Below are 13,272 nucleotides of genomic sequence, written 5' to 3' on the forward strand. Positions count from 1 at the left end.
TGGCCTTGTCACTTTCTTAAGTCTAAAACAAGGCCTGGCAAACATTTTCCATAAAAAGCCATATGGTAAATATTTCTGCTTTGTGGGCTATCAGGCCTCTGCTGAAACTACTGTAGCCTGCAAACAGCCACAGACAATAGGTGAACAAATTGGTGTGGCTATGTGCCAATAAAAACTTATTTACAAAAACAGTCAATGAGGGAAAAAACAGACAGTGGTCCAGATTTAGACCAAGGGCCATGGTTTACCCACCCCTGCCTAGGCAATCAACAAAACAGTAACCTTGGTTTGTAGCATTTCCTGAATTCTGTGGTGTAGATACTCTGTATGGTCAATTTCTTTTCTTTTTTTTCTCCCCCTTTTTCTTTCTTTCTTTTTTTTTTTTTTTTGAGACATGGTCTCACTGTGTCACCTAGACCGAAGTGCAGTGGCTCAATCTCGGCTCACTGCAACCTCCATCTGCCAGGCTGAAGCAATCCTCCTACCTCAGCCTCCCAAGTAGCTGGAATTATAGGTATGTGCCACCAAGCCCGGCTAATTTTTGAATTTCTTATATAGACAGGGTTTCACCATGTTGCCCAGGCTGGTGGCAAACTCTTGGGCTCAAGTACACTGCCCACTTCGGCGTCCCAAAGTGTTGGGATTACAGGCATGAGCCACTGCACCTGGCCGGTATGGTCAATTTCGAGTATCAACATGAAGTCATTGAACTTGGGGTTAAGCTAAGTACAGTACATACCAAACGGATACAAACAGAAGTAAATAACCCCAAAAGCACAGATGAGGCTGGGTACATTGGCTCACATCTATATTCCCACCATTTTGGGAGGCTGAGTCTGGAGGATCATTTCAGTCCTGGAGTTCAAGACCAGCCTGGGCAACAAAGCAAAATCCCATCTCAAAAAGAACAGAGTAGAGAAGAGAAGAGACAGCATTGGTGATACTAAAACTTAGTAAAAATGATTAGGAAGTTGAGGCCAGGCGTGGTGGCTCACGCCTGTAATCCAGCACCTGGGAAGGCCGAGGTGGGAGGATCACCTGAGGTCAGGAGTTTCAGACAGGCTTGGTCAAAATGGCGAAACCCCATCTCTACTAAATATACAAAAATTAGCTGGGCGTGGTGGCGGGCGCCTGTAGTCCCAGCTACCTGAGAGGCTGAGGCAGGAGAATCGCTGGAACCCAGGAAGTGGAAGCTGCAGTGAGCCAAGATTGTGCCACTGCACTTGAGGCTGGGCCACAGCGAGACTGTGTCTAAAAAATAATAATAATAAAAACTGGCCCACAAACTTCCTGGAGAATTGACCGTGGGCTCTCCTGAGTGAATAGGAGCTACTTCCCTGCTTTCGTTGCCTGAGGTTTAGAGGTGGGAGGCCCCCATGATAGGGAAAACAGCCACCAGGGAGGCCGAACAGCTGATACGGGATCAAGGCCCGGGGTACATCAAAGGGCTTTTCCTTCCTCTCAGGCTAAATTACCATCACGTCAGTAGCTCCATCACTTGCATAAGCGGAGGGTAAGGTTACTCAAGCCCAGCCATCGATCCCTTTCAGGCTGAACCTGTGTCCTCATCATCCAAAGTCCCCATGCTTGCATACGTCTCCCACCCTTCAGTTTGGAGCACTGACTTTCATCGTTGGCAAGGGCAATGGGGAGTTCTCTTTGGCCTCTGATTTGCTGAATTGCCTTCAATACATGGCTTAACCTCTCTGAACCCCCATCCCCATTTCCGAGTCTTAGGAAGAACTGTGGCAGGGCGCGGTGGCTCATGCCTGTAATCCCAGATCTTTGGGAGGCTGAAGTGGGCTGAAGTGGGAGGATCACTTGAGGTCAGGAGTTCGAGACCAGCCTGGCCAACATGGTGAAACCCCGTCTGTACTAAAAATACAAAAATTAGCCGGGCATGGTGGTGCACGCCTGTAAGCCCAGCTACAAGGGAGGCTGAGGCAGGAGAATTGCTTGAACCCAGGAGGCGGAGGTTGCAGTGAGCCAAGATTGCGTCACTGTACTCTAGCCTGGGTGACACAGCAAGACTCCATCTCCAAAAAAAAAAAAAAAAAAGAACTGTTATGAGTCTCTGTTACCTACAGGGATAGAAGTGAGTGACTACATGTCCAGTGCTTTGCATGCAACACAACCACCCTGTGAGGGAGGTATTATTCTACCCATTGTACAGTTGAAGAAACTGAGACTCAGAGAAGCTAACTGGCTCATACTAGTAGGTAGAGTTGGGATTCATCTCTCCTTACCCCAAATCCTAGTTTTTCATCCTTTCTGGTGTGCCTTACTGCCTCTAGAGCCCCTCCAGATTTTTACAAATGAGAGGGGTGTGAGAGGCTGCTGGCCACAGACCTGAAACCTAAATGTGCCAGGAGAGCAACAGAGAAGAGCTGGGTGAGGTTGGGCGCGGTGGTTCACGCCTGTAGTCCCAGCACTTTGGGAGGCAGAGGCAGGTGGATCACTTGAGGCCAGGAGTTCGAGACCAGCCTGGCCAACATGGTAAGACCCCCATCTCTACTAAAAATACAAAAATGAGCCGAGTGTGGTGGCACATGCCTGTAATCCCAGCTACTCAGGAGGCTGAGGCACCAGAATAGCTTGAACTTGGGAGGTGGAGGTTGCAGTAAGCTGAGATCGTGCCACTGCGCTCCAGCCTGGGTGACGGATTGAGACTCTGTCTCAAAATAATAATAATAATAAACAGAAGAGCTGGGTGGGATTGGGGAAAGCTGCATCCCACCCCCACACTCTGCCAACGAGGGCAGTAACTTAGCTCCAGACAGTTGTTGCCTGTGGGTACATGGGCCTGGTGTGGCCGGATTTTGTTCAAAAGAAGTTAGCAATGTGAATTTTTATGTGAAATCCTTTGATTTGAAGATTGTCTTGTTTTGAATTCTATTTGTATGAAATATCCAGAATAGGTAAATCCACAGACCCACAGTGCAGACTGGTGGCTGCCGGGCTCTGCGGGGAGGGAGGAAGGGAAAGTGACTGCTTAAGGAGAATGGGTGTCCTTTTGGGGTGATGGAAAGAAGTATTCTGGAACCAGATAGAGGTGGTGGTTGCACAACATTGTGAATTACTAAATGCTGCTGAATGTTTTCACTGTTTTGTGACTCTCATCTCAATAAATTGAATTGGTTTTAAATTTTTCTTTATGATTTTGTGCGTTTTTAGATATTGGGAAATAGCATTTTTATTGAAGATGAGTATACATGGAGAAGTGCATAAGTGTATAGCTCTGAATTGTCACAAACAGAACACACCTGTTTAACCAGCTCAGCTATGTGGTTTTTTGTTTGTTTTGTTTTTTTATTGAGATAGTCTCACTCTGTCGCCCAGGCTGGGGTATAGTGGTATGATCTTGGCTCACTGCAACCTCTACCTCCTGGGTTCAAGCAATTCTCCTGCCTCAGCCTCCCAAGTAGCTGGGATTACAGGCGTACGCCACCACGCCCGGCTAATTTTTGTATTTTTAGTAGAGATGAGGTTTTGCCATGTTGGCCAGGCTGGTCTCAAACTCCTGACCTCAAGTGATCCACCCACCTCAGCCTCCCAAAGTGTTGGGATTACAGGCATGAACCACTGTGCCCAGGTTACAGATATGTGTTTTGGTTTTTCGTTCTTTTTTTTTTTTTTTGAGACAGGTTCTCACTCTGTTGCCCAGGTTGGAGTGTAGTGACACCATCATAACTCACTGCAGCCTCAAAATCCTGGGCTCAAGTGATCCTCCCACCTCAGCCTCCCCAGCAGCTGGGACTACAGGCATGTGCTACCACACCAGGCTATTTTTTTTTCCTTTGGCAAAGATGGGGGTCTCACTATGTTGTCTCGGCTGGTCTCAAACTCCTGGGCTCAAACCATCCTCCCGCCTTGGCCTCCCAAAGTGTGGAGATTACAGATGTGAGCCACCATGACTGACTTATTTTGTTCTTTAATACATAACTTATAGGCCGGGTGAGGTGGCTTCTGACTGTAATCCCAGCACTTTGGGAGGCTGAGGCGGGTGTATCGCCTGAGGTCAGGAGTTTGAGACCAGCCTGGCCACCTTGGCGAAGCTCTGTCGCTACTAAAAATACAAAAATTAGCCAGGCGTGGTGGTGGGCACCTGTAATCCCAGCTACTCAGGAGGCTGAGGCCAGAGAATTGCTTGAACCCAGGAGGCGGAGGTTGCAATGAGCCGAGATTGCACTCCAGTCTGGGCAACAAGAGGGAAAATCTGTCTAAATAAATAAATAAATAATTAATTAAAAAATAACTAATACAACTTGGTTGGGGCGGGGTGGGGGGATGAAAATACACATAATTAAGAGGAAAAAAAAGTAAAGAAAACAAGCCTACTGATAATCCTTCATCTACAGACAACCACCTTGGATGATCTGGGAATGCCCACCCAGACTACTCTTTTCTTTTCTTTCCTTTTCTCTTCTGTTCTCTTCTCTTCTCTTCTCTTTTTTCTTTTCTTTTCTTTTCTCTTATTTGATGGGGTCTTTCTCTGTTGCCCAAGCTGGAGTGCAGTGGTGTGATCAGCTCAGTGCAGCCTTAAACTCCTGGGCTCAAGGGATCCTCCCATCTCGGCCTGAGTAGCTGGGACTACAGGCAAGCACCACCATGCCTGGCCCACACAGACTACTTTCTAAAAATGTATAAACATATATAGATATGACAAGATATACAGATAATGATACATATGATTTGATACTTATGCTAATTTTTTTACATATACTTTGTAAACACTTTTGTCATGGCAATAAATACACATGTTCACCTGGTGTGTGTATATGTGTGTGTTTCATTGAAAAGCTATACTGGGTGGGGCCAGGTGCAGTGGCTCATGCCTGTAATCCCAGCACTTTGGGAGGCAGAGGTGGGTGGATCACTTGAGCCCAGGAATTCGAGACCAGCTTGGACAATGGCCAGAACAGATCTCTACAAAAATTTAAAAATTAGCTGGGTGTGGTGGTGTATGTATATGGTCCCAGCTATTGGGGAGGCTGAGGTGGGGGGATTGCTTGAGCCTGGGAGGTTGAGGCTGCAGTGAGCCATGATTGCACCACTACACTCAAGCCTGAGTGACAGAGCGAGACCCTGTATCAAAATGAAAAAAAGAAAAAAAAAAAAAAAGAAAGGCTGTACCATGATTTCTTTTTTCTTTCTTTCTTTTTTTTTCAGATGGTGTCTTGCTCTGTCGCCCAGACTCGGGTACAGTGGCATGATCTCGGCTCATTGCAACCTCTGCCTCCCAGGTTTAAGAGATTCTCCTGCCTCCGCTTCCCTGGGATTACATGCGCCCACCATCACACCCAGATAATTTTTGAATTTTTAATAGAGATGGGGTTTCACCATCTTGGCCACGCTGGTCTTGAACTCCTGACCTCGTGATCCACCCGCCTTGGCCTCCCAAAGTGCTGGGATTATAGGCGTGAGCCACCATGCCCGGCCTGTACCATGATTTCTTTAACCAGCTCCTAGAATCAAGCATTACCAAGATCTTCCCATTAGAAACAGCATGGATGGTGATCTAGCTCATTTGAATGTAGAGTTTAATGCTCTTTAACAATTGCTTTATTAAATTACTCTGAATTTATATTAATAAGTATCTTATTACTATTTTATGTTTTGTAGAGACAGAGTCTTGTCATGTTGCCCAGGCTAGTCTCAAACTTCTGGCCTCAAGTGATTCTCCTGCATTGGCCTTCCAACATGCTAGGATTACAGACATGAGCCACCATGCCAGGCAGTATCTTATTATTGTTATTATTTTCAAGGGTCTCAATCTGTCACCCAGGCTGGTGTGCAGTGGCGTGACCTCAGCTCACTGCAACCACTGCCTCCCAGGCTCAAGCAATCCCCCCACATCAGCCTCCCAAGTAGCTGGGACTACAAGTGTGTCCCACCACGCCAGGCTAATTTTTTGTATTTTTAGTAGTAGGATTTCGCCATGTTGGCCAGGCTGGTCTCGAACTCCTGACCTCAGGTGATCTGCCCACCTTGGCCTCCCAGTGTTGGGATTACAGGCGTGAGCCAACGTGCACAACCCAGTATCTTATTTTTAAAAATTACTTTCTGCTCTGCTCCACGCTCTGCCCAGGTACTAAATATTAACACCCTCACAGGTATAACTGCTTCCCTTTTTCCATTCTATGGGGGAGTTGACTTTACTGAATAAAAATAGGATGATTTACTATGTGGGTCTCTGCATCTTACTTTTCCAAATGCTTAATTATTGGCAACTGTGGTGGATATTCCTTTAGCCCCTCCAAATCTCTTCCCTCCCTGCCCTTCTCTGTGCCCCAAGCCTTATCACCTTCAGCCAACCTGAGACCCTGGCAGGAAAGGAGAGGAGAGACAAGTGGGGGTATCTCTTCCTTGGCTTCCTCCCTGCCAGACGTTGTTTTAGCAGCTGTTTTAGCAGCAGCTATGTCCCTGTACTGAAGGCCACACTCCTGTTGGGTGACTACAACTCTCTCTAGGTTTCCAAACCCTCCCTTCTCTTGCCCCTTTAGGCTTAAGGGGTGGGGTAAGAGACCCCATGCTCACCAGCCCCAGGTGGCTTCATTATCCTTATCTGCTCCCATGACTTTGTTTTTTTGTTTGTTTGTTTGTTTTGTTTTGAGATGGAGTCTTGCTCTGTCGCCAGTCTGGAGTGCAGTGGTGCGATCTTGGCTCGTTGCAAACTCCGCCTCCCGGGTTCAAGCGATTCTCCTGCCTCAGCCTCCCAACTAGCTGGGACTATAGGCATGTGCCACCATGCTCAGCTAATTTTTTGTATTTTTAATAGAGACAGGGTTTCACCATGTTGGCCAGGATGGTCTTGATCTCCTGACCTCATGATCCGCCCACCTCAGCCTCCCAAACTATTGGGATTACAGGCGTGAGCCACCGCGCCCAACCTAATTTTCGTATTTTCATTAGAGATGGGGTTTCACCATGTTCGCCAGGCTGGTCTTGAACTCCTGACCTCAGGTGATCCTCCCGCCTAGGCCTCTCAAAGTGCTGGGATTACAGGCATGAGCCACTGTGCTGGCCTGATTAAGCAACTAATTTACAATTCTTAAAAACTTTTAGGGGGCCAACTCATGAGCGAGCCTGCCACCTTTATGGCTGTCAGAGTCCAGACCCTTGTTTTATAGATTCAGGAAACGAGGGGAGGATTTGTCGTTTGTAGGATTCCTGGGCCAGAGTGAGGTGAAACATGGAAAGTGTGGTGGTCCTCAAGTCAGGCAGTATGAATTCTGACCAACCAGGTCTCGCCAGGGATCTCTAGTTCCCTGGCTCTATTTCCCATGTGTTTGTCTCTTGGCCTACCTCTCGTTCTGAAATGAAGATGAGCAAGATGTGAAAGCTTGAGAGAGGCAACTGAAGTTCTCCTAGATCTTGGCAGCTTTCTAAAACAAAGGTTTTGCTGGGCTGTCTGTGGCCACTGCAGGGAAGATGAAACAGAACAACTGGAAAGGGGAAAGACAGCTCTCTCAGACTGTTCCCTTGCAATCCTCAAACAGTCCAACATTTGAAGATAAACAAGCCTCAGTCCACATTCTCTAAGAATCTCCAGTGCATGGGACAGACAGGTAAACATGCATTTACAATACCAAGTGAAAAGTGCAGAAAACAGCCCAGCTGTGGGGTGGGACACATAATGATTTCCAGGGAGGTAGTATTTCTTTTTCTTTTTGTTTTTGAGAGGGATCTTTTTCTTTTTGTTTTTGAGAGGGAGTCTTGCTCTGTTGCCCAGGCTGGAGTACAGTGGTGTAATCTCAGCTCACTGCAACCTCTGCCTCCCAGCTTCTCCTGCCTCAGCCTCCTGAGTAGCTGGGATTACAGGCACCTGCCACCAAACCCAACTAATCTATTTTAGTAGAGATGGGGTTTCACCATGTTGGCCAGGCTGGTCTTGAACTACCGACCTCAAGTGAGCCACCCGCCTCGGCCTCCCAAAGTGCTGGGATTACAGGTGTGAGCCACCTCACCCAGCCTTGAGCTGGATCTTGAAGGAGAGGTTCAAGTCAGCCTGGCCTGAGATGGTGTTCCAGGGTGGGAAGAGCAGGTGCTAAGACCCAGTGCTAAGAGAGACTGAGCAAAAAACGTGCCAGAAACTGTTAGAAGTTCAGCATGGCTGGAGCATAAGTTGTGTGTGTGTGTGTGTGTGTGTGTGTGTGTGTGTGTGTGTGTGTGTGTGTGTGTGGTGGGGTACAGGGATGGGAGGTGGTCTAAAGGCAAGCAGAGATCAGGAGTCTTAAAGGCCAAGAGAAGGGCACTGAAGCCATTAAGCAGTAGCGTGCCAATGTCACTCTTGGGAAGGTTGTTCTGGCTGCTTTGGAGACTGGGTTAAAGTGCGCAACCTGAGACAGTTCAAAGACTGCCCAATCAGGAGGAAGAGGTGGCGGGGTAGGAGTAGAGGTGGAGGAGATGGGTGGATTTGGGAGCTATGAAGGCAGTCACAGGATAGAGGTTTATTATAATGACAGCAATATTGACAAGCTCATAATGTAGTAACCTAACAACAGCTCTCTTTTCAGACCGCATGGGTAAGAATCTTCTCCTCACCCTTTTTATTTGGAAAAATTTCAAACCTCAGAAGAACTGCAAGATAGTTCCCCCACACAACCAACTTTTCCTTTTCCTTCTTTCTTTTTTTTTTTTTTTTGATAGAAACTGGGTCTTGCCACGTTGCTCAGGCTGGTCTCAAATTCCTAGGATCAGGGGATCCTCCCACTTCTGCCTCCCAAAGTGCTAGGATTATAGCCATGAGCTGCCTACAAAAGTTTCCTTGAACATGCATATACTCTTCATGTGGATTTGCTAATTGTTACATTTTGCCTCTTTCTCCCCTTGTATCATTTTCTTTGAACCACTTGCAAGTTAGTAGCTGAAACCATGACGCTACACATCTAAATATTTGAGCATTTATCTCCTTACCATAAAAAGAGTTTCTTTCACATAATTGCAACATCATTATCTGACTGAGGAAACTTAACACTGATATACTATAATTTAATATAAAGTTCATATTTAGATTTCATCAATTGGCCCAGTAAGTCTTTTAAAGCCGCTGTTTCTCATTAATAATTCAAGTAAGGATCATGTATTGCATTTAGTCATCGTTTCTCTTTTCCTCTCTTTTTTTTTTTTTTTTTGAGACGGAGTTTCGCTCTGTCGCCCAGGCTGGAGTGCAGTGGCATGATCGCCGCTCACTGCAACCTCTGCCTCAAGCAATTCCCCGGCCTCAGCCTCCCAAGTAGCTGGGATTACAGGTGTGTGCCGCTGTGCCCGGCTGATTTTTGTATTTTTACTAGAGATGGGGTTTTACTATGTTGGCCAGGCTGGTCTCAAACCCCTGACCTTATGTGATCCACCCACTTCGGCCACCCAAAATGCCGGGATTACGGGCGTGAACCATCATGCCTGGTCCTCCGCTAATTAATTTTTTTTTTTGTAGAGACGTAAGTCTTGCTATATTGCCCAGGCTGGTCTTAAACTCCTGGACTCAAGGGATCCTCCTGCCTTGATCTCCCAGAGATATAGGACTACAGACATGAGCCACTGCACCTGTATCTCTCTCTCTCTCTCTTTTGACAATGTTAGAAATGTTAGTTTATTTTTCTACCTTTTCTCTTTTTTTCTTCTTTCTGTTTAAAGTTTGTTTTAAAATTTTATCTTGAAGTGGTTTTAAACTCACAGAAAAGTTCCAAAAATATTATAAAGAACATTTATATGTTTCACCAATTATTTACATTTTGTAAATGTAAATAATTTACATTTACAAATAATTTACAGAGTCACCAATTATTAACATTTTGCCGTATTTACTTTATCTCTCTCTTGTCTACAAATATATATCTCTTTCTTTTTCTTGAGACGGAGTCTCACTATATGGTCCAGGCTGGAGTGCAGTGGCACGATCTCGGCTCACTACAACCTCCACCTCCCAGGTTCAAGCGATTCTCTCCTGCCTCAGTCTCCCGAGTAGCTGGGATTACAGGTGCCTGCCACCACGCCCAGCTGATTTTTGTATTTTTAGTAGAGACGGGGTTTCACCATGTTGGTCAGGCTAATCTCAAACTCCTGACCTCAAGTGATCCACCCCCCTCAGCCTCCCAAAGTGCTGAGATTACAGGCGTGAGCCACCATGCCCGGCCTTACATATATATCTGTATTTTTTTTTTTTTTAGATGAAGTCTTGCTCTGTCGCCAGGCTGTAGTGCAGTAGCACCATCTCGGCTCATTGTAACCTCTGCCTCCCGGATTCAAGTGATCCTCCTGACTCAATCTCCCGAGTAGCTGTGACTACAGGCATGAGTCACCACGTCCAGCTAATTTTTGTATTTTTGGTGGAGACAGAGTTTCACCATGTTGGCCAGGATGGTCTCCATCTCTTGACCTTGTGATCCGCCCACCTCGGTGTCCCAAAGTGCTGGGATTACAGGTGTGAGCCACCACGCCCGGCCTATATCTGTATTCTTTTCTGAACCATTTGAAAGTAAATTGCCTCTCTTAACCCTAAATACTACAGGGTACTTTTTCTAAGGGCACTGTCTTACAAAACCACAGTGAAAGTATCAAAATCAGGAAATTTTCAGATATCAAGGGTGGGAGGATATTACAATTTTTTTAAAAATCAGGAAATTTGGCCAGGTGCGGTGGCTCACGCCTGTAATCCCAGCACATTGGGAGGCTAAGGCGGGTGGATTGCCTGAGGTCAGGAGTTCTAGACCAGTCTGGCCAACATGGTGAAACCTTGTCTCTACTAAAAATACAAAAAAATTAGCCGAGCATGGTGGCATACGCCTGTAATCCCAGCTACTCGGGAGGCAGGGGAATTGCTTGAACCAGGGAGGTGGACGTTGCAGTGAGCCGAGATCTCGCCACTGCACTCCAGCCTGGGCAACAGAGCCACCACGCCCGGATAATTTTTGTATTTTTAGTAGGGACAAGGTTTCAGCATGTTGGCCAGGCTGGTCTTGAACTCCTGACCTCAGGTGATCCAGCCGCCTCGGTCTCCCAAAATGCTGAGATAACAGGCGTAAGCCACCGCACCTGGCCACATATTGCATTTAGTTTTTTTTTTTTTTTTTGAGATGGGGTCTCACTCTCTCGCCCGGGCTGGAGTGCAGTGGCACGATCTCTGCTCACTGCAAGCTCTGTCTCCCAGGTTCATGCCATTCTCCTGCCTCAGCCTCCTGAGTAGCTGGGACTACAGGCACGTGCCACCATGCCCGGCTAAATTTTTGTATTTTTAGTAGAGATGGAGTTTCACCGTGTTAGCCAGGATGGTCTCGATCTCCTAACCTCATGATCCACCTGGCTTGGCCTCCCAAAGTGCTGGGATTACAGGCGTGAGCCACCGCGCCTGGCCTAGTTTTTTTTTTTTTTTTTTTTTTGAGACGGAGTCTTGCTCTGCCGCTCAGGCAGTGAGCCACCTGCCCTGGCCTCCCAAAATGCTAGGATTATAGCCATAAGCAGCTTACAAAACAGTTTTCTTGAACATGCTTATACTCTTCACGTGGATTTGCTAATTGTTACATTTTGCCTCTTTCTCCCCTTGTATCACTTTCTTCGGACCACTTGCAAGTTAGTAGCAGAAATCATGACACTACACATCTAAATAATTGAGCATTTATCTCGTTCCAATAAAGATAAAAGTGATTCTCTCATATAATTGCAACACCATTATCTGACTGAGGAAATTTAACACTGATATACTATAATTTAATATAAAGTTCATATTTAGATTTCACCAGTTGGCCCAATAAGTCTTGTAAAGCTGCTGTTTCTCATTAAATAATTCAAGTAAGGATCATGTATTGCATTTAGTCATTATTTCTCTCTTCCTCCCTTTTTAACTTTATTATTTATTTATTTATTTGAGACAGAGTCTCACTCGGTCACTCAGGCTGGAGTGCAGTGACATGATCTCAGCTCATTGCAACCTCTGCCTCCCCGGTTCAAGCGATTCTCCTGCGTCAGCCTCCCAGGTAGCTGGGATTACAAGTGTGTGGCACTGTGCCTTGGTAACTTTTGTATTTTTAGTAGAGACGGTGTTTCACCATGTTGGCCAGGCTGGTCTTGAACTCCTGACCTCAAGTGATCCACCCACCTCAGCCTCCCAAAGTGCTGGGATTACAGGTGTGAATCACCACACCTGGTCCTCTGCTAATTAATTATTATTTTTTTTTTTTTGTAGAGATGGAGGTCTTGCTATGTTGCCCAGGCTAGTCTCAAACTCCTGGACCTAAGGGATCCTCCTGCCTTGATCTCCCAGCATAATGGGACTACAGGTATGAGCCACTGCACCTGTATTTCTCTCTCTCTCTCTCTCGATAATGTTAGAAATGTTAGTTTATTTTTGAGGGGTGCGGTAGCTCACTCCTGTAATCCCAGCACTTTGAAAGGCCGAGCTGGGCTGGATCACTTGAGGCCAGGGGTTCGAGACCTCAGCCTCCTGAGTACCTGGGATTACAGGTGTGTGCCACCACACCCGGCTAATATTTTATATTTTTGGTAGAGACAGGGTTTCACCATGTTGGCGAGGCTAGTCTCAAACTCCTGACCTCAAATGATCTGCTTGCCACAGCCTCCCAAAGTGCTGGGATTATAGGCATGAGCCACCACACCTGGCCCATTGCATTTAGTTGATGCACATCTTTAGTGTTCTTAAATCTAGGCAATTGCATATCCGCCTCCTTTCTCTGTCCCCCACCCCTTATTCCCCATGTGTATTTCACAACATTGACTTTTTTTGAAGTTTTCAGGCCAGTTGTTTTGAAGTATGTCCCTTCTTTTGGATATGTCTGTTTTCCAATGATTAGATTCAGGGCAAACATGTTTGAATACTACACAGATGACCGCTGAGCCCTTTTCAAGACAAAATATTAGAGGCACATGGTCAGATATCAAAGTTGATTGTTTAGGTAAGCTGGGTTGGAATTTTGGCCTCACATTTTGCTAGTTGGGTAAATTGGTTATTGAGACGGTTTTCTCAGCTGTCAAATTGGGATGTAATAATCTAGCTTCATGAGGTTGTTGAATTAATATATGTAAGGCATTTAGAACAGCGTCTGGCACATTATAAGTATCAATAAATAAACACTGTTACCGTTATTATTATCACTACGATTTTTAGAGGCCTTAACAGGAACATCCAGCACCTTCAACAGTATATGGCTCATAGGAATCATTCCATGAATATTTGTTAGCAGAAGGACAGCTCTATGAGATAGATTGCTATCAATTACTGCCCCATTTTACAGATGAGGAAACTGAGGCCCAGAGAAG

The 13,272-nt window shown here is 46.0% G+C and overlaps 1 protein-coding gene across 1 annotated transcript in view, besides 1 other annotated feature; it reads right to left on the minus strand.

Annotated features, from left to right (window-relative positions):
- The window catches only part of HPD (4-hydroxyphenylpyruvate dioxygenase), a 49,085-nt gene that overhangs the window by 35,528 nt on the left and 285 nt on the right, over positions 1-13,272 (minus strand). The gene's annotated exons all lie outside the window — the stretch shown is intronic.
- Positions 1,409-1,703: a silencer, noted in NCBI's record as "tiled region #2229; K562 Repressive non-DNase unmatched - State 23:Low". NCBI's record gives its function as "represses a minimal TATA promoter and a strong SV40 promoter by Sharpr-MPRA in K562 cells {active_cell/tissue: K562}" and the evidence as "EXISTENCE:reporter gene assay evidence [ECO:0000049][PMID:27701403]".

This window comes from Homo sapiens, chromosome 12, assembly GCF_000001405.40.
Source record: "Homo sapiens chromosome 12, GRCh38.p14 Primary Assembly".
Classification (NCBI taxonomy): Eukaryota; Metazoa; Chordata; class Mammalia; order Primates; family Hominidae; genus Homo; species Homo sapiens.